Source organism: Homo sapiens, chromosome 6 (assembly GCF_000001405.40).
Source record: "Homo sapiens chromosome 6, GRCh38.p14 Primary Assembly".
NCBI classification, from domain to species: Eukaryota; Metazoa; Chordata; class Mammalia; order Primates; family Hominidae; genus Homo; species Homo sapiens.
The window spans coordinates 107,801,031-107,826,523 of record NC_000006.12 but is presented as its reverse complement, the minus strand read 5'-3'; the positions used below and the strand labels follow the sequence as shown (position 1 = coordinate 107,826,523).

At 45.0% G+C, this 25,493-nt stretch overlaps 1 protein-coding gene across 8 annotated transcripts in view, besides 1 other annotated feature; it reads left to right on the top strand.

The window, feature by feature from the left end:
* Positions 1–25,493, top strand: part of SCML4 (Scm polycomb group protein like 4) — a 143,885-nt gene that overhangs the window by 19,515 nt on the left and 98,877 nt on the right. For 4 of the 8 annotated variants that reach the window (NM_001286408.2, XM_011535703.3, NM_198081.5 and 1 more), the window contains exon 1: positions 2,211–2,398. The exons of 1 other annotated variant lie outside the window; for it this stretch is intronic. Coding sequence is in view for 1 of the 7 variants with exons in the window: in XM_047418597.1 (XP_047274553.1) it covers positions 20,580–20,640 (61 nt within the window). In the remaining 6 variants the exon portion in view is untranslated. Of the gene's footprint in view, positions 1–2,210; positions 2,399–18,068; positions 20,641–25,493 lie in introns of those variants that run through there. 3 more of the 8 variants (XM_011535706.2, XM_047418596.1, XM_047418597.1) reach the window with 2 other exon arrangements.
* Positions 4,059–4,128: an enhancer, noted in NCBI's record as "active region_24908". NCBI's record gives its function as "activates an Ori minimal core promoter by ATAC-STARR-seq in GM12878 lymphoblastoid cells {active_cell/tissue: GM12878}" and the evidence as "EXISTENCE:reporter gene assay evidence [ECO:0000049][PMID:35858748]".

Genomic DNA, 25,493 nt, shown 5'->3' with positions numbered 1-25,493 from the left:
TTACTTAAGAAATGTTATTTTTTTTAATCCTAAGAAACATTTTAGAGTGAAAATTGGTCTAATGTCTCAGCCCATTCCAGGTGCTTTAAGCTCAGTGTAGTGTGGCATGTGTGAGGCCACGGGTGTGAGTATAATAACCGCTGTCGCTGGGACAGAGATGCTGTCCAAACTTAAATCATCCATCTTCTTTCCTTTTCTTTCCTTTTCTTTTCTTCTTTTTCTTTTCTTTCTTTTCTTTTCTTTTCTTCTTTTCTTTTTCTTTCTTTTTTCTTTTTTTTTGAGATGGAATTTCACTCTTGTCACCCAAGCTGGAGTGCAATGGCGTGATCTCAGCTCACTGCAACCTCTCCCTCCCAGGTTCAAGCGATTCTCCTGCCTCAGCCTCCCGAGTAGCTGGGATTACAGGCAAGCGCCACCAAGCCTGGCTAATTTTTGTATTTTTAGTAGAGATGGGGTTTCACCATGTTGGCCAGTCTGGTCTCGAACTCCTAACCTCAAGTCCAGGAGTCCCAAAATGCTGGGATTACAGGCATGAGCCACCACACCTAGCCCATCCATCTTATTTTCTTTTTTTTTTTTTTTTTTTTGAGATGGAGTCTCGCTCTGTCACCCAGGCTGGAGTGCAGTGGCACGGTATCGGCTCACTGTGAGCTCCGCCTCCCGGGTTCACGCCATTCTCCCTCCTCAGCCTCCCAAGTAGCTGGGACTACAGGCGCCCGCCACCACGCCCAGCTAATTTTTTGTATTTTTAGTAGAGACGGGGTTTCACCATTCACAGGATGGTCTCGATCTCCTGACCTCGTGATCCACCCGCCTTGGCCTCCCAAAGTGCTGGGATTACAGGCATGAGCCACTGCACCTGGCCCATCCATCTTATTTTCTTTTCTTCTCCTCTTCCTCCTTCTTTAGTGAAATCAACTTATATGAAATGAAAATGCAAACTACCAAACCTGCCTTTTCCCATACAAAACAACAAAATTTGATGATTAAATGAACTAAAGTAGTGAATTTCTTCTTGCTCAATTAATTACAAGGCTTTGACTTAAAACAATTTTTTATATTTTCATAATAAATTTCAGAGGAGAGATTTCTTATGTACTTCTAATGTGACTCTACACATATATTTAGAGAAACCTCAAGTTGTCCATTGCAGTTTTTTTCACTCTCAGTAACTGGCCAGGTTGTGGCCTAAGCCTTCGTTAGCCCTGGTTGATATTTAGTCCCGGCTAAATTTGTTTGCTGCTCATCCCTAGGAGTAAGCCACATGTTTGTAGAATGGATGTTTCATCTTGTAGGAAATACCTGTGAATATGCCAATATCCCAGAGTGGATGAAATGGGCAATGGGGAGCCCTGCTCCACTTTACAAAAAGAAAGGAAAAGAAAAGATCCCTTCGCCGATATATATTGATTTGCTGCAGAAAATGCAATGGGGCATGGGAATGAATAGTCACTCTTGCCCTGTTTCTATCCTGTGCAGGTCCCACCACGTTGAGGTGGGTAGAGATGCTTACACACACACACATACAGGCCTGGAGCCAAAGTCAGGGCCGGCTTTAATGAACTGTACACATATGTTGTGGGCAGCCGCTGATTTAATATGTACAACCATGGTGTGTGCACACACCTGGATAGGCACACTGCTCTGGGAATCACACAGGGTCTCCTGAACAATGATGCTATTGTAATATTTCTTTTTGTTTTATTTGTCCAAAGTCAAACATTCACTCTGTCAGATCACCAGTGTCTTATAAGCCTGGTGTTGGCCCACACTGCTGCAGGATTGGGACAAAGAGACGATGTTACAGTCTGGTTTCTATGGCAACAGAGGAGGGGTAATGAAAACTGAAATGTTGGAAACACCCATTCTAACCATTGTGACATAATTCAGGTTATTACAAGGATGTAACTACCAAAGAAGCAGAAGTGTCATTACCTTGCAGCTCATGTCGACAAAAAGCTACACTGCACATTTCTCTTAGGCTGCTAAGAGGAAGGAAACACAAAACACACACACACACACACACACACACACACACACACACACACACACACACACACAGAGGCCTCGTTTTCTGCATGTAAAATGTGTGTGTTCTTTAAAAGCCAGTGGTTGGCTGGTTTTCCGGACATGATGTGGTTGAAGCTGTCATCGTAATGGAAATTCATTGCTGTAGCTATGGTAAATCGAGTTTTCTGCCTGTGCTGAATGCATTAGTCTAATGAGATGTTTGCAGCTGGAGCGCAGGGCTGCTGGAGACTAACTGTGAGCTACTAACACGGGTGGAAGATAGCTTTTGCAATACTCGGTTTGCATGTGCTGAAAGTCATCTGTCTTCTGAGTCAACACTCCCGACCTGGTAAACAACCTGCTCAGGGCTCTGGTGAACAAGCTGTAGGTAAGGGAGATGCACAATTGGAGGCGTGCCGTTGACACGGGATCTTTCTCTTGTAACTGTCAGCATGACAGGTTACCTGTTTCAGTTTTTTCTGGGTTGCATGCCTACCTCTATGGCAACGCACAAGAGTGTCCTGCACTAAAACCACTGAGTCCAGTAGGTAAACTTTAGTTCCTCATATGCAAAGTACAGCATTTAATTTATTAACCAGATCTCAGAGGGGAAAATGTAACATTGAATTATATAGTTTATAAATTTGGGCTATATACATGTTCATTACTCTTTAACTCTGCATTTAAATACCTAGAAAGTTATTTTTTTCCAAATGTGAACTCAAGTAACCGGTTAGTTATTTTTTCCCTTCACGATAATTTTGCTTTGTTTTGCTTTTTAATTTTAAAAAAATTGTACTATGTCTTGGGATAAAAATATTTACCTAAAATTTGGTTATTAAAATTGGTATGTTATGAACATGTAAAAGTGTTTTTTTTCCCATTTAATTTTATTTCAAATATCCCAGGTAGAATATTTCACATGTCTTTGTGCTGGTTTTTCCTAATTTATGAGGCATAAATAAGAATAATATTTACTGCTAGTTTCTGGTTTTAATTCGTTTTTTGGGAAAAAAACTGGTGACTATGGAGTATTAGCGGCAGTTTTCCCAAGCTCAAAATCACCTCCTTCCCAGGTGGAGCACTGTGACTTGAACCAGCTTCCACGTGCTCCTCCCAAAGCATGAGGGGTCCTCTCCAGGTTGATTGCTGGCTGGACAGGAGCGGTGGATGAGGCCAGGGTGCAGGCTGCTGAGCTGTTTTGCTGAGTTGAGGTGCTTGAGTCAAAGTTCTTTCCACTATCTGTGATCGTGAACGAGAGGTGTCTCCTCGTGTTGTCTCTAGATTCCATGACGGTACTCATGAGGGTTAGACAATCAGTGGCTTTCTGAGAAAGTGGTTTTTTACTGATCTCAGACACTACAGTACTTGAGAAAGTAATCCAGGCACTTCAGAATCAGGGTATTTGTTATATGCTGTTTTTCTTTCTTTTCAACCAGAGGAACCATTTTTGAAGAATGAGGGATATAGCTGCTTTTTTTCTCCACTTTTTTTTTTTTAAAGCAAAATAGAATATCTGGAGTGAAAGCATAAAAATAACTACAAAGGAATTCTTAGTGTGTTAAACTATCTGGGGGGTATAATATTTGTGTGGAGCATTTTTTGTGTTGCTTGGTAGAACTAGTCTGATAAAATGAGGGGCTGTTTGAGCAACAGCAGCTGGGTGAAGATTACCTAGAAAATCGGTACTGCGTGATCGTCTAAACTCAAAAGGTTAATGTAGAATCTTCAGTTTTAGGGAAATTGGTGGCTTCACAAACTATAACTTTTAAACAGGCTTTTTGACAGAATTTTTAAAAAATATGAATGTGTTTTCTTTAGCTCTTTAAATTGTGTACGTAGATGAGCTCTGAAATATTTTGGTAAATTCATCAGTTTGCTTCATTTGTGGAATTATAACAAAAGTGCAAAGCCCACAAAAATCCAGTTCTTTCATGTATAACATGTTTACATTTCTTCCCTGTGTCCCCAAAATTACTTTTATTTTGCTGCAAAAAAAAAAAAAGAAAAGAAAAAAAGAAAAGAGTAAATGAACGGTAATAGAAAGACAAGAAAACAATAAGCGAAACGAGTAAGTTGCTTTTCATCATTTCTTTGCTTTTGGTGGTGTGTTTTCGAGGCGAGGGAAATCAGCAGAAGCAGTTTCACTTTCTGGTTCTTGACTCCTGGGGGTGAGGGTGAAAGGCTGTCTCCTCTAGCAAGCAGCAGGTAAGCTAAGCAGCTCAGCCCACAGAAAACAAGCCAGACCCAAATACTGTCACTTGCTGCAAGAACTTTTATAATGAGAGTTCAAAACAATATTGACTTTAAAAAAATACTCAGTAACACTTTCCTATTAAAAAATTCAAGCACTACCCCAAAGTACAAAGATAGACTTTTTTAATTTTTAAAATTTGAAATGATGAGAAAATCATCTCTGCTGTTTATGTATTTTTAATCTCAATTTTGGATCTCAAATACTTCAATACTTTTAAGGAAACATAACTGAAGTTCCCTGAAATCATAACAAGGAATGCTCGGAGAGGAATAACCTTTCTGGGAGTCTGGGGGCTTAAATGTTAGAGTGCTTCGTAGGTCTGTTTACAATTTTGTGTGGCCTGAGGACACATCACACATGTGTCCACACATCCTTTATGACACGCACCTTAAAGAACTTTTGGTCCAGGCAGAGGTGGTGGCTGGAGCTTGAAAGCCCTCACAGGGGCCCTGTTAGGGATCTGCAGGACAATTTTCCTCCCCAAGTCCCTGCCCTCGGAAACCTCAATATCACATGGGTAGATGCCAGGGAGCCGGGATGTGCCCATCCCACTCCACAAGTCCTGAAGAGCGTGGCAGGTGACACTACCCCTCATTGGGCTGGGAGCCTTAGGATACCAAGCATCTCCAGTGTCATTCTTCCCCTGAGCCCTCAGATTTTATGTGGGGATGGAATGGGAAAGAAGGGAAAGGAGATGAGAAAAGACCCTCTTTTAATCTGATTATCATGGAGCGTAAAATCTTGTCTAACATTTTGTGGATGAAGTTTGTGAAAGCAGTTGCCTTTGGTGTGATCACACAAGCTTCTTTCTTTTGGTGGGCACATCTGATGTTTCTAAGAAGGAACTTTTAAACAATGCCTCCCTAGACATCTTATTTCTTAATTCTGCCATCTCTCAAAAGGCTAGTTTTAGATTTACACATTTTTTAATGTTTTCATTGCCTTCAAAAGCAGACAGGTGAGGAGAGAAGAGGGGGATTAAATCAGCCCCTGGGAGAGACATTAAACGGCTTGGTACAGATATCATATAACAGAAGCCACCAGGGTATCTAGTAAATTACTCTAAATTTTAATTAATGAGTCACAAAAGCCACACCACAAGCTTTAAAAATTACCCTTTTATCAATAAGGTGATAATTAACTTTCTCTGGAATTAGCAGTTCTCTCAGCCCCGGGGCAGTACACAGCCTAGTAAGTTCTCTGGAATGCTGCCAATTTTTAACAATTGGTCTTTTGGCAAACCTACTGGATTTTAATTCAAACATCTATTGTGACATTTTCCAACGTGGTCCACAGACCATTAGGATCACCCAAATCGTGGTAAAATTTCTGAGGTCAAAAGAGCAGCTTGGAATGTTTGAATCGCATTTGAATATGTCACTTTCTCCTTCTTCTTCTTTTTTTTCTTTTCTACCTTTCCCCACCCCAAACTTCTGCATTTGCAAGAGCGCAGTGCTCCAGTCTGCTGTAAATCTCTACTAGAGTCTCTGCTGTAAATCGCTGTGGGGAACCCTGCATTTGTTGATACGCCCATACCAAGTCCGAACGCCCTGGCTGCCAGCCCGTGGGTTCTAAGCGTTTTTCATTGTTGCACTCGTCTTGGTTTCAATTCTGGCAAGGGCTCACTCCTTCATGTTTTTGCAAACTCTCACCCGTGGTTTGTCAAATGCTGATCTTTAGTTTGAGACTTGAAGAAGTGCTTTGGGCAAGAGGGCCATTTTGGACATGCTTACAGAGGCTTGGAATTTAGCTTCCTCTGATCTGCATATATTAATGTCTGAAGAGGCACAGACAGGAGCATTCAGCATTGCAGAGCAGCCTGCCCCACAACAGCCCTTCTCAGACATGCATACGCACACGCACACACAAACACACACCCCTCCCAGTGCGGCTGGTCACTGGTGGGTGGCATTCAGGGACAGCCTCAGGAGGGACACTGCTATTTGGGTATAGCATCTGGAGGGCAAGTGGTGATGGATGCAGATCATCCCTTCAAAAGTCAGCCTCCTCTCTTCCCTCTGGATCTTTCAAATGTTAGCATTGCTGGGCTCCTGCTTCTCTCAGCCAAGAGACGTGGCCAGGGCTGAATACCGGTGACAAGGCTTCCTGCTGGGTTAAGCAGGCAGTTCTGACACAGACAAGAACATCCCTGCCTTCAGGCGGATGGGGTGGAGACCAGCAGCAAGCTGCAATTGTGCATTCTGGAATAAATCAGCACTTAGCAATCAGGAGAAGCCCTTTGCTGCCGCGGAGGAGATAAAACACCTCTTACTTCTTGGGATGATTATTTCTTGGGCTACTATTTTAGGACAGAAAGGAATTTATTACCCAGTGGCAGTTCTCACTTTGCATTAAGCTGAAAAGTCATTCCACTCAGTCCATTTGACACTCTGAAGTAATGGGAGTAGATTTTGATATCCACATTGCATATTTCCCGGGGTGACTATTACTATACCAGTTTTACTAGTTGTGTTTTAGTCCAGTGATAAGAAACCATATAAACTCCTCTTACTCTGCCACTAACTTAGACACATGCTACCTAAATTTTCATTTGTGGGGAGGCAGATGTGCTTTTTTTTTTTTTTTTTTTGGCAGTTGCATTTTTTGATCAGATAAATGCAACCCACCATTGCTGATTTTCAAGAATGATTGCACATTCCTGCAGCCAGGCTGTCTTAGCCTTTTGAGAAATTGGCTGGGCTGAGGAGGTCTTACTTTCTCCAGAAAACATGCAAGACAGAAGCAGAGGAGTGGAGCAGGCTGTTATGAGAAAATTAGTATGCCAGGAAAAAATAGTGTCAACACTGTGCTTTGAAAGGTGGTGATGTTGTCTGCTTAGCCCCGCGATGGTGACTCAACTTTGGGGAGCTGAATATTTGGTAACCAAAGCCCTTGCCCTTTTCCTCTCCCTGTGCTGATCATTATAGAGAAGCCCTCATTGTTTCAAAACAGAAACATATGGCCTGAAAGTAATCCTAAAGACATGTGCAGGCTCCCATAAAGATGAATACTCAACTTGGCTGGGTCTAAATCCAGCCAGGGGAAAGTGGTATGGAGCAAAGAGGCAGTAGGATAAAACAAAGAGAAGGGAGCCTGTTCCTTCTCCCTTCCAACCGAGCACTAGACCTTCACTCTCCCTCTTGTACCCCCGGTGCAGTTCAGAAAGGATTCAGTAATAGCTATGAGTACCATACAGCTGTCAGCTCATAGACCATAGGGGCCTTTTCTTTTGAACTGAAGAAAATATTTTCTCTTCTCCCGTCCTCTTTTGTCCACAGGTCATCCTGGGACATCATTGCTCTGATGAGAAAACCAGGGTTGAACACTAAGGAGTATGTTTTTCCCTGGTGTCTAGAGCCAGGGCCTGCCCCTCTCACCAGGCCCATGAAACACTTGGAGCTGCCATGTCTAAGGCCCTGCCTTAGATGCAGACTTCAAGTCGGCCAGGGGCTGGCCTCAGGATTTTAATCCTGTTTTGACAAGCAGTCTGCCTTGGTGAATGAGGAAAGGAAGAACCGAAGAGAAAAACACAAGGCGAAAGCCTATTCCAGGGCATTCATGCTTTTGGTTTTGGAGACAGGATTTGGAGGTCATGTAACTTAATTCCTTTGGGCCTAACCATTTCTGAGTGATTATAGGACTGTAAGAATCATTCTCATTCTTTGTGGCCTTCCAAAGAAGAGGCTGACCTCTTTCCTTCACAGTTCTTTAGGATTTAGTGCCCTCATTATTGGGAAATTTTGGTGATGTCAAGGCTTTATCAAACAATTAGCTATTAAGACATGCTGTTGATTCCAAAGAGAATAATCACAAATGTTGCACAATGCATTGGGTTTATTGATCAGTAATGAATTCCACTGGGGGAATAGATTTCTGTTATTTTTTCAGTCGTGAGGAATCTGTGGTCATTTGTTGGATTCAAGCAAGATTTGGTTCATGCTGTTGCCACTGTGGCCTGTGCTGGGGGAGTTTGCCTTGAGACTTAGGAGTCAACCCAGCAGCCATCTGCGCACTGCCCCTTTTATTGGGAATTTTCCCTTTCAGATGCCAAAGGTGCCCGAGCATATTCGACTATATCACTTTTAAGACCTCATTTGCAAAAAAACTTCAAGTGGAAAGCTGTAGATAGCTTTAAATTTGGGTATGCAAATTACAAAGCATAGAAACAGTGGGGGGAAGAAGCTGGTTCTAATGCTCGAAATCACCATCCACGGTGTGAAAATATAGCTCTTGTTTTGAGTGTCTTAACATAATTAGTACTAGAGACTTAACATAAATAAAGAGGGCAAACAGCATGGTGGGGTTGTGTTGGTGCCTGATGTGGAAATGGTTAATTGGTCCCACAGTGAGAAACTGTACAACCGTGTGTTGCTTTAATGAGACCAGGTGAGTATAAGCTCTCTCCAGGGATGTGAAGTTAGTACTCGATTTGGGAGGTGATATGTGTGAGAATGTGTGGGGGCCAATGATATGATGGTATAGAGGATTGGTTCTTTCTTTCTAGGGCCCTCTCTTTTAGTTAGAAGTCATTTGGCATGAACCCAGTAAAGAAGAATAAATTAACTAAAAGTGATCTGATAGTAGAATAAGAAAAAAGTACATTCAGTGATTTTTTTTTTTCTTTTTTTTTTTTTTTGAGATGAAGTCTTCCTCTGTTGCCCAGGCTGGAGTACAGTGGTGCGATCTCAGCTCACGGCAGCCTCTGCCTCCCAGGTTCAAGAGATTTTCCTGCCTCAAGTAGATTCCCAAGAAGCTGGGATTACAGGCACCTGCCACCACACCTAGATAATTTTTGTATTTTTAGTAGAGACAGGGTTTCACCATGTTGCCCAGGCTGGTCTCAAGCTCCTGACGTTAGGTGATCTGCCCACCTTGGCCTCCCAAAGTGCTGGGATTAAGGCGTGAGCCATTGCACCTGGCCTAGAAAAAGGTACATTCAGAAAGGTTTGTCTAATATGCATTTCCCTGGAAGCAGCCCAAATCTCTGTTCAGGTCAAATGCTGAGAAATTGAGTTCTTATTCATTGGCTTGGGACCACGGTAGTGTGAGATTAACTGGAAGTATAATTGTTTAGAAATCATATTTCTGGGTACAGGCTAGGTCATTGTTTTTATGACTATATTTGACATTTCCATGCCTGAAGAAAAAAAAAATTCCATTGGACCAAAGACCCAGCTGGTCCCTGTAAATTTTTAACAGCAGATAACACAGGTTACGGAACTTCCAGGACAAAGTTAAGAAAACCCAGGCCACGCTTTGGCAGAGATTTCCTGTGTTCTGTGTGTGTACTTTGTGAATCGAACATCAGTTTCAGGGGTTTTCTTTCTCATCCCTGAGAGTGCAGATTTAAAACAGAGTAAGGAGAATTTATGCTGAAACCATGGTGCCACTGAAGTCCCAGACCATTTTCCAGCTAGCTCACTCATCTGTGGAAAAGTTAAAATGACAACTGAAACAATATGTTTGAAGGAAAAACATCTAACATTCAAGGAAAGAGTTAAAAGCAAAAACCTGTACTCTGAGAAGTGATCTCGAAGTGAAGCCTGGATTCTTAGACTGAATGGGTTTCAAGGCCTCTCTCCCAGGTCAAGGCCCAAATTCCCTGCTAACGTCTTGGAAGGAGGCAGACAGCACAGGACTCTATCCTTCCATTGTTAGCAAGCTCCAGTTGTTAGCAGTTTCCTACCTTTCTTCTCCAGTAGCTTCTTCCTCCTCTGAGAGCCTACTTGTGTCTTCAGAGCTGCACAGAATCCATCTAAATGGAACCGCACGGATTCCAGTTCAGAAAAGCCATTTTCATGGCCACCAGTGTGACCTAGGGCAAGTATCATGGCATCCCCGAGCCTCCTCTCCTCCCTGGAGATGTTCTTCCTGTCAGTCCCCACTGCTGAATGGTTCAAAGGAAACAGTATGTGGAAAAGGGCTTTGTAAACCATAAATGCTGTATGGATGATAATACACATTTGCATCAATTGAGCATTATGTGCTCAGGGATGTGGAGGGAAGCATGAAACATGGTTTATCTTACTTATCGTGTTTGATCCACACAGGAAGTCAATACAGGAGGGGCTACTTTTACTGCCAACATACAAATGGGGAAACTGAGGCTTATATTATACATAACTAACTTATTGAGGGCCACATGGCCCTAGGAGTCTGTGAGTCTTTCCTCCTTTGGTTTGAGCAGTGGCCGGGGCGTCCGTGTCTTTTCACCTGTGAGGGCTGAAGAGAAAGAGCTCTTTCATGCTGTAGCGCCAGCCTCTCCTGCTCTGCCTGGCAGGGCTGCTGCAGGTCCGGCAGGTTCCAGAAAGGAAATGATTCCCTGGTGTTTCCACTTCGAAAGGCATTTTTGATCCATAGAAAATTTCTTTTAAAGCAGTAAGCTTTTAGGCCTGTCAGACCCAACCCCCATTTTTATTGCAAATATATTCAAGCACCTGGTTTACAATTCTGAGGTGAAATTCCTGGATAATATGACTCACTCACACCCATAATTTTTAAGAAAAATTAATATAATGTCATAACTGAAATATAAAGAAGAATGAGACAAAGTATTTGCTGATTACTTCCAACGCAGGCACCCGCCTCTGGGCAACAGAAAGAAGTGATCAGGGGCTGACACCTGCCCCAAGAAGCTCAGGTTGGGCCACCCCTCCAATGCAGTTGAAGTCAGAGGAGTGGGATTGGTGACTCAGATAACATGAGCTGCTGCGGGTGGTGTGATTTTCCAAAATGATACACAACTCTTGGAATTCTGAAGAAAATAAACAGTCTTCCTTTGATTTATGCACTAATGGCATTCCTGGAAAATAAAGTGTAAAGTGTCTATTACAGCTGAGCAGAAATACATATTGCTTTTTTGTAAAATAAGTTAGTCCCAGGTTCAGAAAAGCCGGGTATTTCTATATGGCAAGACAATGCTTTCATTGTGTGGGACTGCTCCATCCACTGAGGGACACCCAGCATCCCTGGTCTCTGCCCTCTAAGTGGCAGGAATGCCCACTCTGCCCCCAGCATTGTATCAGATACAACCATCACTGACACATTTCCAAAATGCCCCTCTGCAGAAGCTGTTACCATCACTGTTGAGCACCTGTGGATCAGAGCTGCCAGTCATTTTACCTTCTCCTGCCTCCCCGAACACTCTGATTAATTAAGGCTTAGAAAAAAGATGGTTCTGTTTTGCCAGTTTCCTACATGATCACTATGCAGAGCCCTCTCAAAGATCATGGTAGGAACTTTGGGGTGCCCTTAACATTCTAGGAAGATGCTTGCTAGTGAATTTCTTCTGAAAACTGTAGTTTTAAGCTAAATGAGAAGACCCTTTCTATCATGTGTCAGTCTCCTTCAGATTATGCATAGGTTTTTATCACATATATGGTATTTTAGAAAGCACCTTTGTACGGCCTGGCACGGTGGCTCACGCTCGTAATCCCAGCACTTTGGGAGGCCGAAGGCGGTGGATCACTTGAGGCCAAGAGCTCGAGACCAGCCTGGCCAATGTGGCGAAACCCCGTCTCTACTAAAAATACAAAAATTAGCCGAGTGTGGTGGCACACACCTGTAATCCCAGCTACTTGGGAGGCTGAGGCATGAGAATCTCTTGAACCTGGGAGGTGAAGGTTGCAGTGGGCCAAGATTGTGCCACTGCACTCCAGCCTGGGTGACAGAGTAAGATCCTGTCTTAAAAACAAACAAACAAACAAAAAAACATGTTTGTAAAATCCTCACTCTTCTGTAGGTTGGCTTAAAATGATTAACACTACTGAGGGACTGTGATGTTGCAGACATTGTGGGTATCCACACAGCAGCCCAGAAACATCACCATTCCATGTCACAGGCCAAAAGGCAGAGATTCAGTGAGCTTAAACAACTGTACCAAGATCACCTGTTAAGTGGTATAACTGGGTCTCAAATTCAGGTGTGTCTGACTCTAAAACTCACACCTTTTTTCCAGTCTGACCTGCCACTTGAATTAAGTGGCTCCACGGTTAACTTTTTTATCCATGATGTTGAAACCCCATTCTGAGGACTTTCTCCTTGTTCAATACGTAAGAACGAGGTAAGGGAATAAAGATGGCTACAAATTCTTTGACATTCCTTCCATGGAGATGTGGGGTCTAACTCCCCTCTCCTTGACTGGCATGTGTTGCTTGGCTCTTAGGATTGGTGGAAGTGACCTTCCAGGATGGATATATGGAGCCTTGCAGCTCTACTGGGTCTTTGGATGCTAGCTCTTGGAACCCTGAGTCACCACGGGACTGCCCTGGGCACCACTGCCCTGAGGCTGCCATGCAGTGAGAAGCCAAAGGCACATGGAGAGGCTCCGTAGGAAGAGACACAGAGAGAAAGAGGCAGGAGACATGGAGAGATCAGACACATGGGTGAAGAACCCATCCTGGATGTGGACCACCAAGTCCCAGCCACCCTAGCTGCTGCCACACTGACCACAGACAAACTGCCCAGGCAAGCCTCTCTGAATTCCTGACTCACAAAATGGTGAGCTATGAGAAGCTACCAAGTTTGAACTTGTTTTTAAAGCAGCGACTGATAACCGCAGCATGTAGTCATGGCATTCTTTCTGTTGTATTGTGCCTTATTTTTGATGCCTAAGGAAGAACGATCTTCCTCCCGAAAAAGTAGCCAAAGATTCGCTATAAAATATAGTTGACCTCCATTTGGTAGAGATTGAAATGAGAGAGAGAAGTTTTGTTCCATGACCATTCTGTAAACCATTCCCCACCTCCAGCTTCAAAATGTATCCAGTCACACCATCTGAAGCGTGTTTTCAGCGGACACTGTTATTTTAATATGTATTTAATTTTACAGTTTTATATATATATATATATATATATATATATATATATATATATATATATATATATAATTTTTTTGAGATGGCGTCTCACTCTGTCACCCAGGCTGGAGTGTAGTAGCACGATCTCAGCTCACTGCAGCCTCTGCCTCCCAGGCTCAAGCCATCCTCCCACCTCAGCTTCCCAAGTAACTGGAATTACAGATGCCCACCACCACCCTGAGCTAATTTTTTGTATTTTTGGTAGAGACGGGGTTTCATCATGTTGCCAGGCTGGTCTCGAACTCCTGAACTCAAGCCATCCTCCTGCCTCCACCTTCCAAAGTGCTGGGACTATAAGCATGAGCCACCATGCCCAGCCTATATTTATATTTTTAACAATAAACATGATTTGAATTTATAAATGTGACATAAAGTTTCATTAAAATGTATTTATTTAAATAGACCATTTAAAGATTTAGTAAATATTAGGAATGCAGGAGGTGTACTAGTTAGGGTTCTCCAGAGAAACAGAACCAATAGGGTATGTGTGTGTGTGTGTGTGTGTGTGTGTGTGTGTGTATGTGTCTGTGTGTAAAGAGCTCTACTATAAGGAGTTGGTCAAATGATTATGGAGGCCGAGAAGTCCCGAGATCTGTGATTGGAAGCTGGAGATGCAGGGGAGTCTATGGTATAATTCAGTTCAAAAGCCAGCAGACATGAGACCCAAGAAGAGCTCATGTTTTAGTTTGAGTCTAAAGGCAGAAAAGAAAATGTCCCTGCTGGAAGGGAGTCAGGCAGGGGGAGGTCCCTCTTACCCCACGGAGGGTCAGCCTTTTTGTTCTTTTCAGGCCTTCGATGGATTGGGTGAAGTCCCCCCACGTGTGGGTTGCCATCTGCTTTACTCAGTCCACCAGTTCAAATATTAATCTCTTCCAAAAACACCCTCACAGAAACACTTAGAATAATGTTTAACCAAATAACTGGGCACCCACGGCCCAATCTAGTTGAAACATAAAATTAAACATCAGAGGAGGTATCGGACATGGCAAATATCACAAAGGTGGCACCCCAGGTCTGAAGCTTGGTAAGCACTGCTTTGAGCTAGGGCTCTCTGGTATGGAGGGTTTGGAGCTGAAACCCTGGTGGTATTGTTCAGTTCATCTGTGGGGACTGTGATCCTCTGACTGTCTTCCATAATGTCTCCTGGGAAGGTTATCTTTCATTTTCAGAGCACCTTTTAGAGACTGTCCCTGGTGGTGACTAATTCTGGGAATGTTTGAGCCGGGCTTCAGAATTCCAGCTGCCCTCATGGGAGAGGGAGTTTCCCGGCAATCCACCACTGGTGACTGTGTTTATTGTCAGTGCCTCGGCTGCCCATAGATCTGCAGTTAAGCCTCCCTGCTGGCTCCCACACAGGATCACATGTCACACCAACTTGGTCCTCTAGTGAGAGAACGTCTGCCCTGGAAGTCAAGGTTGTTGGAAACCCTCTCACTATTTAGTGTTAAGTCTGGCTCAGTGGTGACACAGATGAAACTGCTCAACAGTTCAGATGGGATGGTTAAAATATGACATCATAGACGCCACGACTGGTCCATGTCTCACAGCCATAAAGGAAGCTGGACGTTTTCATGTCCCCCTCTGGGTTCTGCTTGTTTAGATGATGCTGTTTGGCACCATCAATTTCACTTCCCCACTGCGCACTCTGTGAATTTGTGCCCAGACTGCCCCCAGGAGCAGAAGAAAAAGTCTTTAGGTCAGCAGTTTTATCTCTTTGGCCTCTTTGACTGGAAATGTCATTGCAGAACAGAAAATCATTGAGGGGAACTTCAGGGGGATTGAAGAAGACACATTTTTTCCCATTTAGGCTGATGCCTTTTGATGGGGGCATTTGGGGCAGCCCTCAGCTTACACAAAGTGCTGCAAATCAGTATACCTGTTATTGCTCTCACTCTGTCTTCAGCTGTCTGAGACAGGGATGGAAGCACCCACTGCTTATAAATACAAGATGTGGTAGGGCTGGAGAGAGGAGTAGGGGTAGGCTGATTCAGAAAGTAATATAAAATACACCAGGAACCACAAAATGCAATCAAGAAAACAGGCAAGTTCACAAAAACAAGTTGTATTTATTTTGCCTGTATATTAATAGGATGGAAACAGTGGTGATCTGGCTCCTGTGTAAGAGAAGAAAATGTTTTTATAGTGCTGTATCAGTTTGCTAGGGCTGCCATAACAAAATCCTGCAGACTGGGTGGCTTACACAGAAGAAATTTATTTTCTAACAGTTCTGAAAGCTAGAAGTCTAAGATCAAGGTGCCAGTGGCTCTTGTTTCTCTGAGCCCTCTCTCCTTGCCTTGCACGTGGCTGCCTTCTCACTGTCCTTATGTGGCCTTTCCTTGTTATGCTTCCACTCCTGATGTCTCTTACTTATAAAGACACCAGCCCTATTGGATTAGGGCCCCATCCTTATTATAATACCTCATTTAGGCTTAAGTATCTCTTTAAAAGCTCTATCTCCAGGCAGGGAGTGGGGGTTCACATGTGTAATCCCAGCACTTCGGGAGGATGAGGTGGGATGATTGCTTGAGCCCTGGAGTAGACCAGCCTGGGAAACATAGTGAGACCCCCATCTCTATAAAAAGATAAAATAGCCTATCTCCAATTACATTTCACATTGGGAGTTACGACTTCAATATATGATTTTTGGGGTTGGGGGGAACAATTCAATTTATAACAGTGTTTATTTTAAGATTTCATCTGACAGTTTAATCTATTTCCCTATAAGCGATCAATGGTAAATATGTTTCATAATGGCCTATTATTACTTACCAAACATCTACAGTTTCTTTAAATTTTAGGCCACTCACATTCCTGCTGTACTCACTCCAGATAGCCAAGGGACTTCAGGAAGGTTTCAACTCTACCCCAGGGCAGAGGAGATGATCTGATGTCTCCAGATCCCTTTTAAAGAAGAACTGGAATCTCCACCTATCTCTTCCTTTCTGGCTCCCACTCAACGCCCCTCTCTGCCTTTTTCCTGCCCACAGTGGTGCAACTTCACAAAGTATATCCCAAGCGATGAGAGGAGGCACCAGCAAACAAACCTGCCTAGGACCAGTGATTTTCCTGGGGCTTTGCTGGTGGCATTCTCTATCCACATGTCACTTGATGCCCCTTGACTGAAGATTTCCAGGTGATTCTGGGCCCTACCCAGTATGGCAGGCAGTGTGGGGAGGGCCAGAGTGAGAAGAGCGAGCCTGGGCACCCTTGGAGTTGGACTTCTTACCTAATAGCCACAGACTCCTCTTCTTCACAGCTCCCAAGATTGTGTGAGCCTCCAGGACAGAGGCTGATGCTCACAGTGGCCAGCACCAGGGCTCTTCTCTATCTGCTCACGAGCAGCCAGCCTCTCTCTGTTTGCTAACTGCCCTCTCCCCTGACCACATGAGCACAGTGCCTGGCACAGAGAGACGCCCACAGGTTTTTCAGAGGGATCGATGAATGTAGAGAACACCAGGAAACACAAAATGCAATCAAGAAAAATAGGCAATCCTCCCACCTCCGTCTCCCAAAGTGCTGGGATTACAGATGTCGGTAGAGAGAGAGAGAGAGGTGCATAATTATGTGAGGGGTTAGGCACTTGAGGGCTTCCTCGACTAGGCTACCTGCGTTCTGGTTTTGAATTTCAACTGTTTTAATGGACATCTCCACCTACCTGTTCCACAGGCATCCTGAACTCAACGTTTCCAAAACTGGACTCATCATTGCTCCCTTCCCCATATCTTCCCCTTCTCCTTTATTCTGTCTTCATTGAAGGTATCACTGCTTCCCCAGCTATCCAAGATAACAGTTTTAGAATCCCAAACTCTCCTTACCCCATGCCTTCCAATTGGGAAACAGGTCCTGATGGATGTTACTTTCAAAAAAGTTTTCTGCATTCTCCCTTTCTCCATCTACCCCTTGGTGGCCCTTCCTCAGACTCTCATTAGCACCCTTCACAGGGACCACCATGATGGCCTCCTGCCCTGCTTCTCTGCCTATATTTTCTCCTCCCTTTAACCCGCTTCATACGTTGCACCAAGTTTATCTTTATAAGATGCAGTTCTGATAGTCTTACTCCATTTGTGTTGCTATGACAAAATACATCAGACTGGGTAATTTAGAAACAATAGAAATTGATTTCTCAAGGTTCTGAAGGCTGGGAAGTCCTAGACCAAGGTGCCAGCAGGACTGGTGGCTGAAAGCGCTGCTGTCTGCTTACAAGACAGTGCCTTGTTGCTGCATCCTCTAGAGGGGACAAATGCAGTGTCCTTACATGGCAGAAGGGATGGAAGGGCAAGAGAGTGCTCCCTTCACCCTCAAGCCCTTTGATAAGGACACTAAGGGATCTGCTCTCATGACTAATCATCTCCCAGAAGCCACGCCTGTAAATACTGTTGCATTGTGAGTTACATTTCAACATGAATTTTGGAGGGGACACTATCATTCAAACCATAGCACTGATGTACTCACTCTAGTGCTTAATAATCTCAGATAGATTCCATTGCTCACACTGATGGTTGCCAAATGTTTTGCCTGTGTTCTCTGTTAAATCATCCCAATACACATATATGTTATTTATAATTACTTAATTATTAAAATATTCTTGAGTACACATCCCCAACATATGTATATTGATAGATTATATACATACTACATTAATGCATTATGCACATTATAAAACATATGCAAAAATAGAAATGAAAAAGGCCACATGAGCCTTTTGCCCTTCCCTGAACATTCTCAAAGCCTCTGTGTTTTTCCCATTTTCTCTTCCCATGTCCTGGAGTTCTCTTTTCTCACTTCTGCATGTGATGAAGTTCTGTATGTCCTTCAAGACAGCACTCTAGGCTGGGCATGGTGGTTCATGCTTGTAATCCCAGCACTCTGGGAGGCCGCGGTGGGAGGATCACTTGAGGCCAGGAGTTTGAGACCAGCCTGGGCAATATGGTGAGACCCCCATCTCTCCAGGAAAAAACAAAAACAAAAACAAAAACAAAAAACAAACCAGCACTCTTCACTTGACTCCTGGGACCCTGGCTCCCCACACAGACTGCCTTGGTGCCATCTTTATATATAGTGTTTAGAACCTTCACCTTCTCTTGCTGCATGATTTGATAATATCTTTCTGATGGGCAAGGAGGAAGACGGAAGGTTTTGGGGTGTATGTCATTGTGGTTGCCAAGAACAAGTTGTCATAGTAACATATCTTTCCTTCCTTGTGAAACATTCCAAAGAGGTTTTTTCCCCCTTTGGCTTTCCTCTGACTCTGGGGAAAATACATCCCATCCCCTGCAGAGGAGTGCAGAAGCAGGCAGTCAGACAGACACAAAGGGTGGGGAGTAATTGGGCGAGATGTGCAAAAGTCAACTCAATTCCTAATATCAAGCAATTAGGCTAATGTGATTTAGAACAACGTGATCAGTGAAGTTTGTGTTTATGCTCCCCTCAGACTGTAATTAATTCATGGAAGTGCTGTAGGTTGTTAAATTTTGTAAACGGATAATAGAACTGTTCTTTGAAATAAAAGCAGTGGCAACAACCTAGTCATTTTACAGTAGCGTGAATAGAAGATAATTACAGTTTGAGAGAACATAGCCCCCTTTCCGTACAAGAACAGGAATGGATTGTCTTCGGCTGGGAGTTGCTGTGAGCACAAATTGCAAACAAAGTTTATGTGCTCTGCGGGGAAATGGCAGGCATTTTCCCCATATAGTCAAGGAGAGTGCCTAACTCACTTTTTAGATATTTCTACCAGTGTCCTACAGGGAATTGTGCTAATAAATATGACAATAACATTGTAATGGGACCAGAAAGGCTGACCCAGCGTTTTGTTAATTTGTGTTCAGCATTTGCTGGGAGCTTTGTAACCCCTGAGCAATGAAACAGGAGCATATTGGTTGGACTGTAGGCATTTTAATTAGAGGTCCTGGGAATAACTCTGTGCTGTGGCAGCTGGATAAGACCTGGCCCCTCAAAGTTTACCCATGGCGAGCTTCCCTCCTGGCCCTCAGCGGCCATTAAAAGGTCTTGCTAGAGGAAGGGACCTGGGGGAGGGAGTGCAAAATTTCTAAGGAGAGGAGGAAGATGCCTGGTGGGCTGGCGTCCAACAGCAATTAGCTACTCAGCTGTCAGTGCCCAGAGCCCTTGCTTTAACAAAGTGGTGGCAAAGATTGACAGAAATGGCTTGACCCCATGATGGATCCCAAAGCATTTTGTAAAAGGGTCTTTTTACTCTTGCTACCTTTTCATCATCTGGCTTAAATACAATGCAACAATAAAGGCATCATAAATCAAAAGCTGTTAGCACACATGGCCCCTGCAATTTATGGGTATTAAGCCAAAAAAAAAAAAAAAAAGCTTAGGAACATTTCATCAAATTATTTTTCCAGTCCCTTAAGACTCATTTAAATTTCCCTCCTCTCCCTACCCTGGTGCTGCCAGCTATTTCATGCACAGGAGCACCTGAGCCCAGGGTGGAGGGAGCCAACTCTGCCAGCGGGCAGGCGGTTCATTCTCATGGGGTGGGGCCTGAAGCTCTGCCCAGCTGCAGGCACCATGTGGGCAAACAGCCAAGAATCTAGAGAAACAGATGGCAGCTGCCCTTGGGTCAGTGATGCAGCTTTGGGAATGGCCATGTCCATCCACACTAAACCTCCATCCTCACCTCTTTCACCATGAGTCCTGGGGCTGGGGTGGGAGCTCCAGTGGGAGATGGCGGGATTATTTGGAGGTAAGGGGCCCAATGCAAGGTTGGGTTGGGGACTAAATACTCAAAGCCAGCCACTTCTGTGATGGTCCAGTGCCGGCTTTGGAGGCCCAATGCTAAGTCCTGGAAGGCCCGGTGCAGAGTAGTGGGCCCACCAGAGGCCAGCATTAAGGAGCAGAATCCCCACTATGCTCTGGGTAGTGGCTGATAGATCTCAACATGTCAGTGGAGAAGTAGAAACCGGTTGGTGGCGTTACTTATATTTGTTAATTAGTGAGCCCGACACATAATTATTAAGCATCGAGGATAGGCAGGGCACATGGAACAATTCACCCCGATGTGCAGAGACACAAAGTCAGATGAATGTCCAAAGGGCCAGAAGTGGGCTTCCTGCCCTTCAAGGATCACCTCCTCCAGGAAGCCTGTACAGGTTGCTATGAGGAGCAGATGAGCATGTGCTGAACATTCTGAATACAATATGGATTGTCAGGCTGAGCCCTTGCTCATTGTTTATTGGGGGGGGGGAAATCTCTGTTTTGATTGTCCTTGAGTTGAGAAGGGACTCTTAAGTTGGAAGCTTTCTGGACCTTTGTTGTGTGGGAAAAGTAGAAGGCAGTTGGCACAGGTGCCTCTGTGGCATCACCTGGCCCCGTGGTAAATCCTATCTTATTCAATGAGGAAACAAGGGAAGAGAAGTGGTGTCTCCTTAGCCACTTCTCTGAGCTTGATGGGAATATATGGCTTAAGAACTCATAACCGTGGCCTCCATGACAATCCCTTGGCTCCCAGGCTCTGTGACTCCCCAGTCCATCCTGGCTCTCTTCAGAGGTAATGTCTGTCAAATTTCAATGTCATTGTTCTTATTATAATTAGGAATATTGTATTTCAGAACCAGGCTGGTTTCTCATCAGGCCTCATTGCCAGTATTACAGCTGCTTTGTGCTCTTAGATCTGAGGGCCTATAAAACAGCTCACCACATATGTACAACTTTACGTCACTCTTCGCTGAGCTAAGTTGGAAAATTTATAGTTCTAAAAACACAGAGTCAAGTTGAAAATGTGGCTTTGGCTGAGTCTGGGTGTAATTGGGTTTTTCAAGTGTAGTTTGACAGCTTTCATGTAACAGAAACACCAGGGCCCATAAAATCAGGCCAGTGTCAGGATTTCAGGTGTATTAAGTATTTCAGCAGTGGCTGCCATCCTTCACTTTCATTTAAATGGGGGTATGAAAATGGAAGGACGTGATGCTTTCAAAAGGCCACAATCTCAGTCCTCCTCACAATTAGTGAGAATAAGCATGCCACTAAAAAAGATGATATCTGATGTTTTCTCATTTATTCATTTAGACTTTGTTATCCCTGTATTTTAGGCACTGTCTTAGAATAAAAGATAAGTAGGGTGTGATCCTAGCCTTCATGGAGCTGATGGTGTAGTAGAGGGGTTAGCAAACATTTTCTATAAAGGGCCAAATAGAGAACATTTCAGATTTGGGGGCCATATGGTTTTGATGGCACCACCCTTGACAGCCACCCCATGCCTGCTCCACACCCCTAACTCTCCAGTACTCACTTCCTGCCTCAAGCCTACTGATCCCTCTTTTTGCTTCCTATAGCCATTTTTTCCTCACCTGCAAAATAGGTAGGAATGCCTCCAGCACAGGCTTATTGTGAGGATGAGCTGAGTTGACTGACTGTGTAAAGCCCTCATTTGGGGTCTGGCTGCCACTTTATTTGTTTAGTTTTGAGACAGGGTCTCACTCTGTTGCTCAAGCTGGAGTACAGTGGTGCGAACACAGCTCATTGCAGCCTTGAGCTCCAGGCCTCGAGAGATCCTCCTGCCTCAGCCTCCCAAGCAGCTGGGACCACAGGGGCACACCATCACGCCTGGCTAATTTTTTAATTTTTGTAGAGTCTCACTATGTTGCCCAGGCTGGTCTCAAACTCCTAGGCTCAAGCAATCCTTCCGCCTTGGCTTCCCAGTTGTGCTGGGTTTACAGGTGTGAGCCCAGCTCTGGCTGCCACACTTTATCCTTTCCAGAGATTTTTAAAAAGGGACAACTGGATAATATTCTCTGCTGCTAGGAGAAGATGTTTGGAGAGCTAAGCCATATTTAAAAATTAAATAGGTGTGTGTGTCTGTACATATATACACATAGGTATAAAATATTGTGTTTTGATTCTGAAAATTAGATATACTTGGAATGCAAATTGCAACATATTGCAATTTGATTCTGGCCCACATTCTCTCCTGGCCCCTCCAGACTCTCCTTTGGGCACCCTGCATCTGAAAGGCTGAAATTAAAATTGAGAATGGAGACCTGGATCCCATCTTGCCTTCCCAAGGGGGCCTGGCCTTGGGGCCTGGCCTCCAGTAACTATGGGCATCCTGCCAGGGCTTATTTTGTAGCAGACCTTTTTCTTTAATTATATTTTTGAGTTGTACAAGTTGTGCACACACACACACGTTTCATGTTTAAAATGTAAATTAGCAAATTAGTACAGAATTCACAAAGCTGTGCTCTCCAACTAGCAGCCAGAGTGAGCCTTTTTAAATGAGTCAGATCACATTTCTGCTCAGCTCAGAAATGCCCAGTGACTCCACATCTTGCTCAGAAAAAGAGCCAATGCTCTTTTTTTTTTTTTTTCTTTTTCTTTTTTTTTTTGTTATTGATCATTCTTGGGTGTTTCTCGCAGAGGGGGATTTGGCAGGGTCACAGGACAATAGTGGAGGGAGGGTCAGCAGATAAACAAGTGAACAAAGGTCTCTGGTTTTCCTAGGCAGAGGACCCTGCGGCCTTCCGCAGTGTTTGTGTCCCTGGGTACTTGAGATTAGGGAGTGGTGATGACTCTTAACCAGCATGCTGCCTTCAAGCATCTGTTTGACAAAGCACATCTTGCACCACCCTTAATCCATTCAACCCTGAGTGGACACAGCACATGTTTCAGAGAGCACAGGGTTGGGGGTAAGGTCACAGATCAACAGGATCCCAAGGCAGAAGAATTTTTCTTAGTACAGAACAAAATGAAAAGTCTCCCATGTCTACCTCTTTCTACACAGACATGGCAACCATCCGATTTCTCAATCTTTTCCCCACCTTTCCCCCGTTTCTATTCCACAAAACCGCCATTGTCATCATGGCCCGTTCTCAATGAGCTGTTGAGTACACCTCCCAGACGGGGTGGTGGCCGGGCAGAGGGGCTCCTCACTTCCCAGTAGGGGCGGCCGGGCAGAGGCGCCCCTCACCTCCCGGACCGGGCGGCTGGCCGGGCGGGGGGCTGACCCCCCCACCTCCCTCCCGGATGGGGCGGCTGGCCGGGCGAGGGGCTGACCCCCACCTCCCTCCCAGACGGGGTGGCTGCCGGGCGGAGACGCTCCTCACTTCCCAGACAAAGTGGCTGCCGGGCGGAGGGGCTCCTCACTTCACAGATGGGGCGGTTGCCAGGCAGAGGGTCTCCTCACTTCTCAGACAGGGCGGCCGGGCAGAGGCGCTCCCCACATCTCAGACGATGGGCGGCCAGGCAGAGACGCTCCTCACTTCCCAGATGGGGTGGCGGCCGGGCAAAGGCGCAATCTCGGCACTTTGCTGGGCCAAGGCAGGCAGCTGGGAGGTGGAAGTTGTAGCGAGCCGAGATCACGCCACTGCACTCCAGCCTGGGCACCATTGAGCACTGAGTGAACGCGACTCCGTCTGCCATCCCGGCACCTCGGGAGGCCGAGGCTGGCGGATCACTCGCGGTTAGGAGCTGGAGACCAGCCCGGCCAACACAGCGAAAACCCGTCTCCACCAAAAAAATACGAAAACCAGTCAGGCGTGGCGGCGCGCGACTGCAATCGCAGGCACTCGGCAGGCTGAGGCAGGAGAATCAGGCAGGGAGGTTGCAGTGAGCCGAGATGGCAGCAGTACAGTCCAGCTTTGGCTCGGCATCAGGGGGAGACCGTGGAAAGAGAGGGAGAGGGAGACCGTGGGGAGAGGGAGAGGGAGGGGGAGAGGGAGAGGGAGAGGAGGGAGAGGGAGAGGAGGGGGAGGGAGAGGGAGAGGAGGGAGAGGGAGAGGAGGAGCCTTTCCAATTTTCTTTCCTTCCTTCCTTCCTTCCTTCCTTCCTTCCTTCCTTCCTTCCTTCCTTCCTTCCTCCCTCCCTCCCTCGAGCCAATGCTCTTAAGTGGCCTGAAAGACACTCTATGCTCTGCCCCCACCTCTCTCCCACACCATTTCCTACCCCGCCTTCCCTCTGTCACTCTGCACCCAATACCCTGGGCTCCTGACTGTCTTTGAACTGTCCACCACAGGACTTTTGCACTTGCTGTTTTCTCTGCCTGGAATGTTTTTCACTCCCATATGCCCATAGCTTTAAGTTCCTTGAAGTCTCTGCTCAAACATACCTTAGTGAGACTGGACCATCAATGTCAAATAACATGCTCACTGCCATCATGCTCTATCCCCCTTAATCTAATTTATTCTTGTAATATTTATCATCACCTGACTTGCTGCATATCATTTGGTTGTTTATTGTCTGTCTCTCACGAATATAAGTTCCGTGAGAACAGTGACTTTTTGTTGTTGCTCGTACTGTATCCTCAGTGCTCAGAACACTGGCACGTAGGAGGCACTTGAGAAATATTTGTTGAGTAAAGAAATGAATAGGCCGGGTGCAGTGGCTCACGCCTGTAATCCCAGCACTTTGGGAGACAGAGGCGGGCAGATCATGAGGCTAGGAGATCGAGACCATCCTGGCTAACATGGTGAAACCCTGTCTCTACTAAAAATACAAAAAAAAAAAAATTAGCCAGGTGTGGTAGCGGGTGTCTGTAATCCCAGCTACTCGGGAGGCTGAGGCGGGAGAATCACTTGAACCTGGGAGGCGGAGGTTGTGGTGAGCCGAGATCCAGCGTGGGTGACAGAGCAAGGCTCGGTCTCAGGAAAAAAAAAAAGAAATGAATAATGAAGACTGTAGTCAAAAGTCAGAATTTCTGTCTCCACCCTCCATGTGCTAACCCCCATTCCACATTTCTCAGTCATACGCCCTGTCAGCAACATATCCTTCCAGGAACTTTGCATATGTAAGAATACCTAGAAGCTTCTGCTTCCAGTTAGGATGTAGAAGGATGTGAAAGACATTTGGACTTGGGAAAAACCTGGAGAAATTAAAACCATACTTTTCTATGAGACTAGTGAAAAGTAATGGACACAAAAAAATCTCGATGGACTCTATTCTGGAGAGAAATGAGCTCATTGTAGGATTAGCAGAGTTATAGGTTCCATACCTGGGGTGGGGGGCAGGTAGGCAGGCATAGGTGGGTGGAGGACTGGAGTCTCGCCAAGGAGACGCCCTCTGAGCCATCTGGGAGGATGACTTCGTATGTACCTAGCCAGAAAAGGGAGGTGGGGAAGGGATTACAGGAGTTGGGAATCGTGTGTATAAAGATAGTGCTGTCTGGAGAACAGTGAGAGTGTGACCTGGGTCTGCAATGGAAGAGTGGGCTTACCATAGACAGAGAATTTACAAGGAGAAATCGGTTGGGCTTTACATAACAGCATGTGCTACTAGAAGGGACTGGAATCTGAAGGACCCTCTGGTTCAGTCAGAAGACATAAACCACATTGGCAATTGGAATAGGGAAGTTTTAATATAAAAAACTCTTAAAGTAGTAAATGCAGAGATCAGTAACTACTCTGAAAGTTC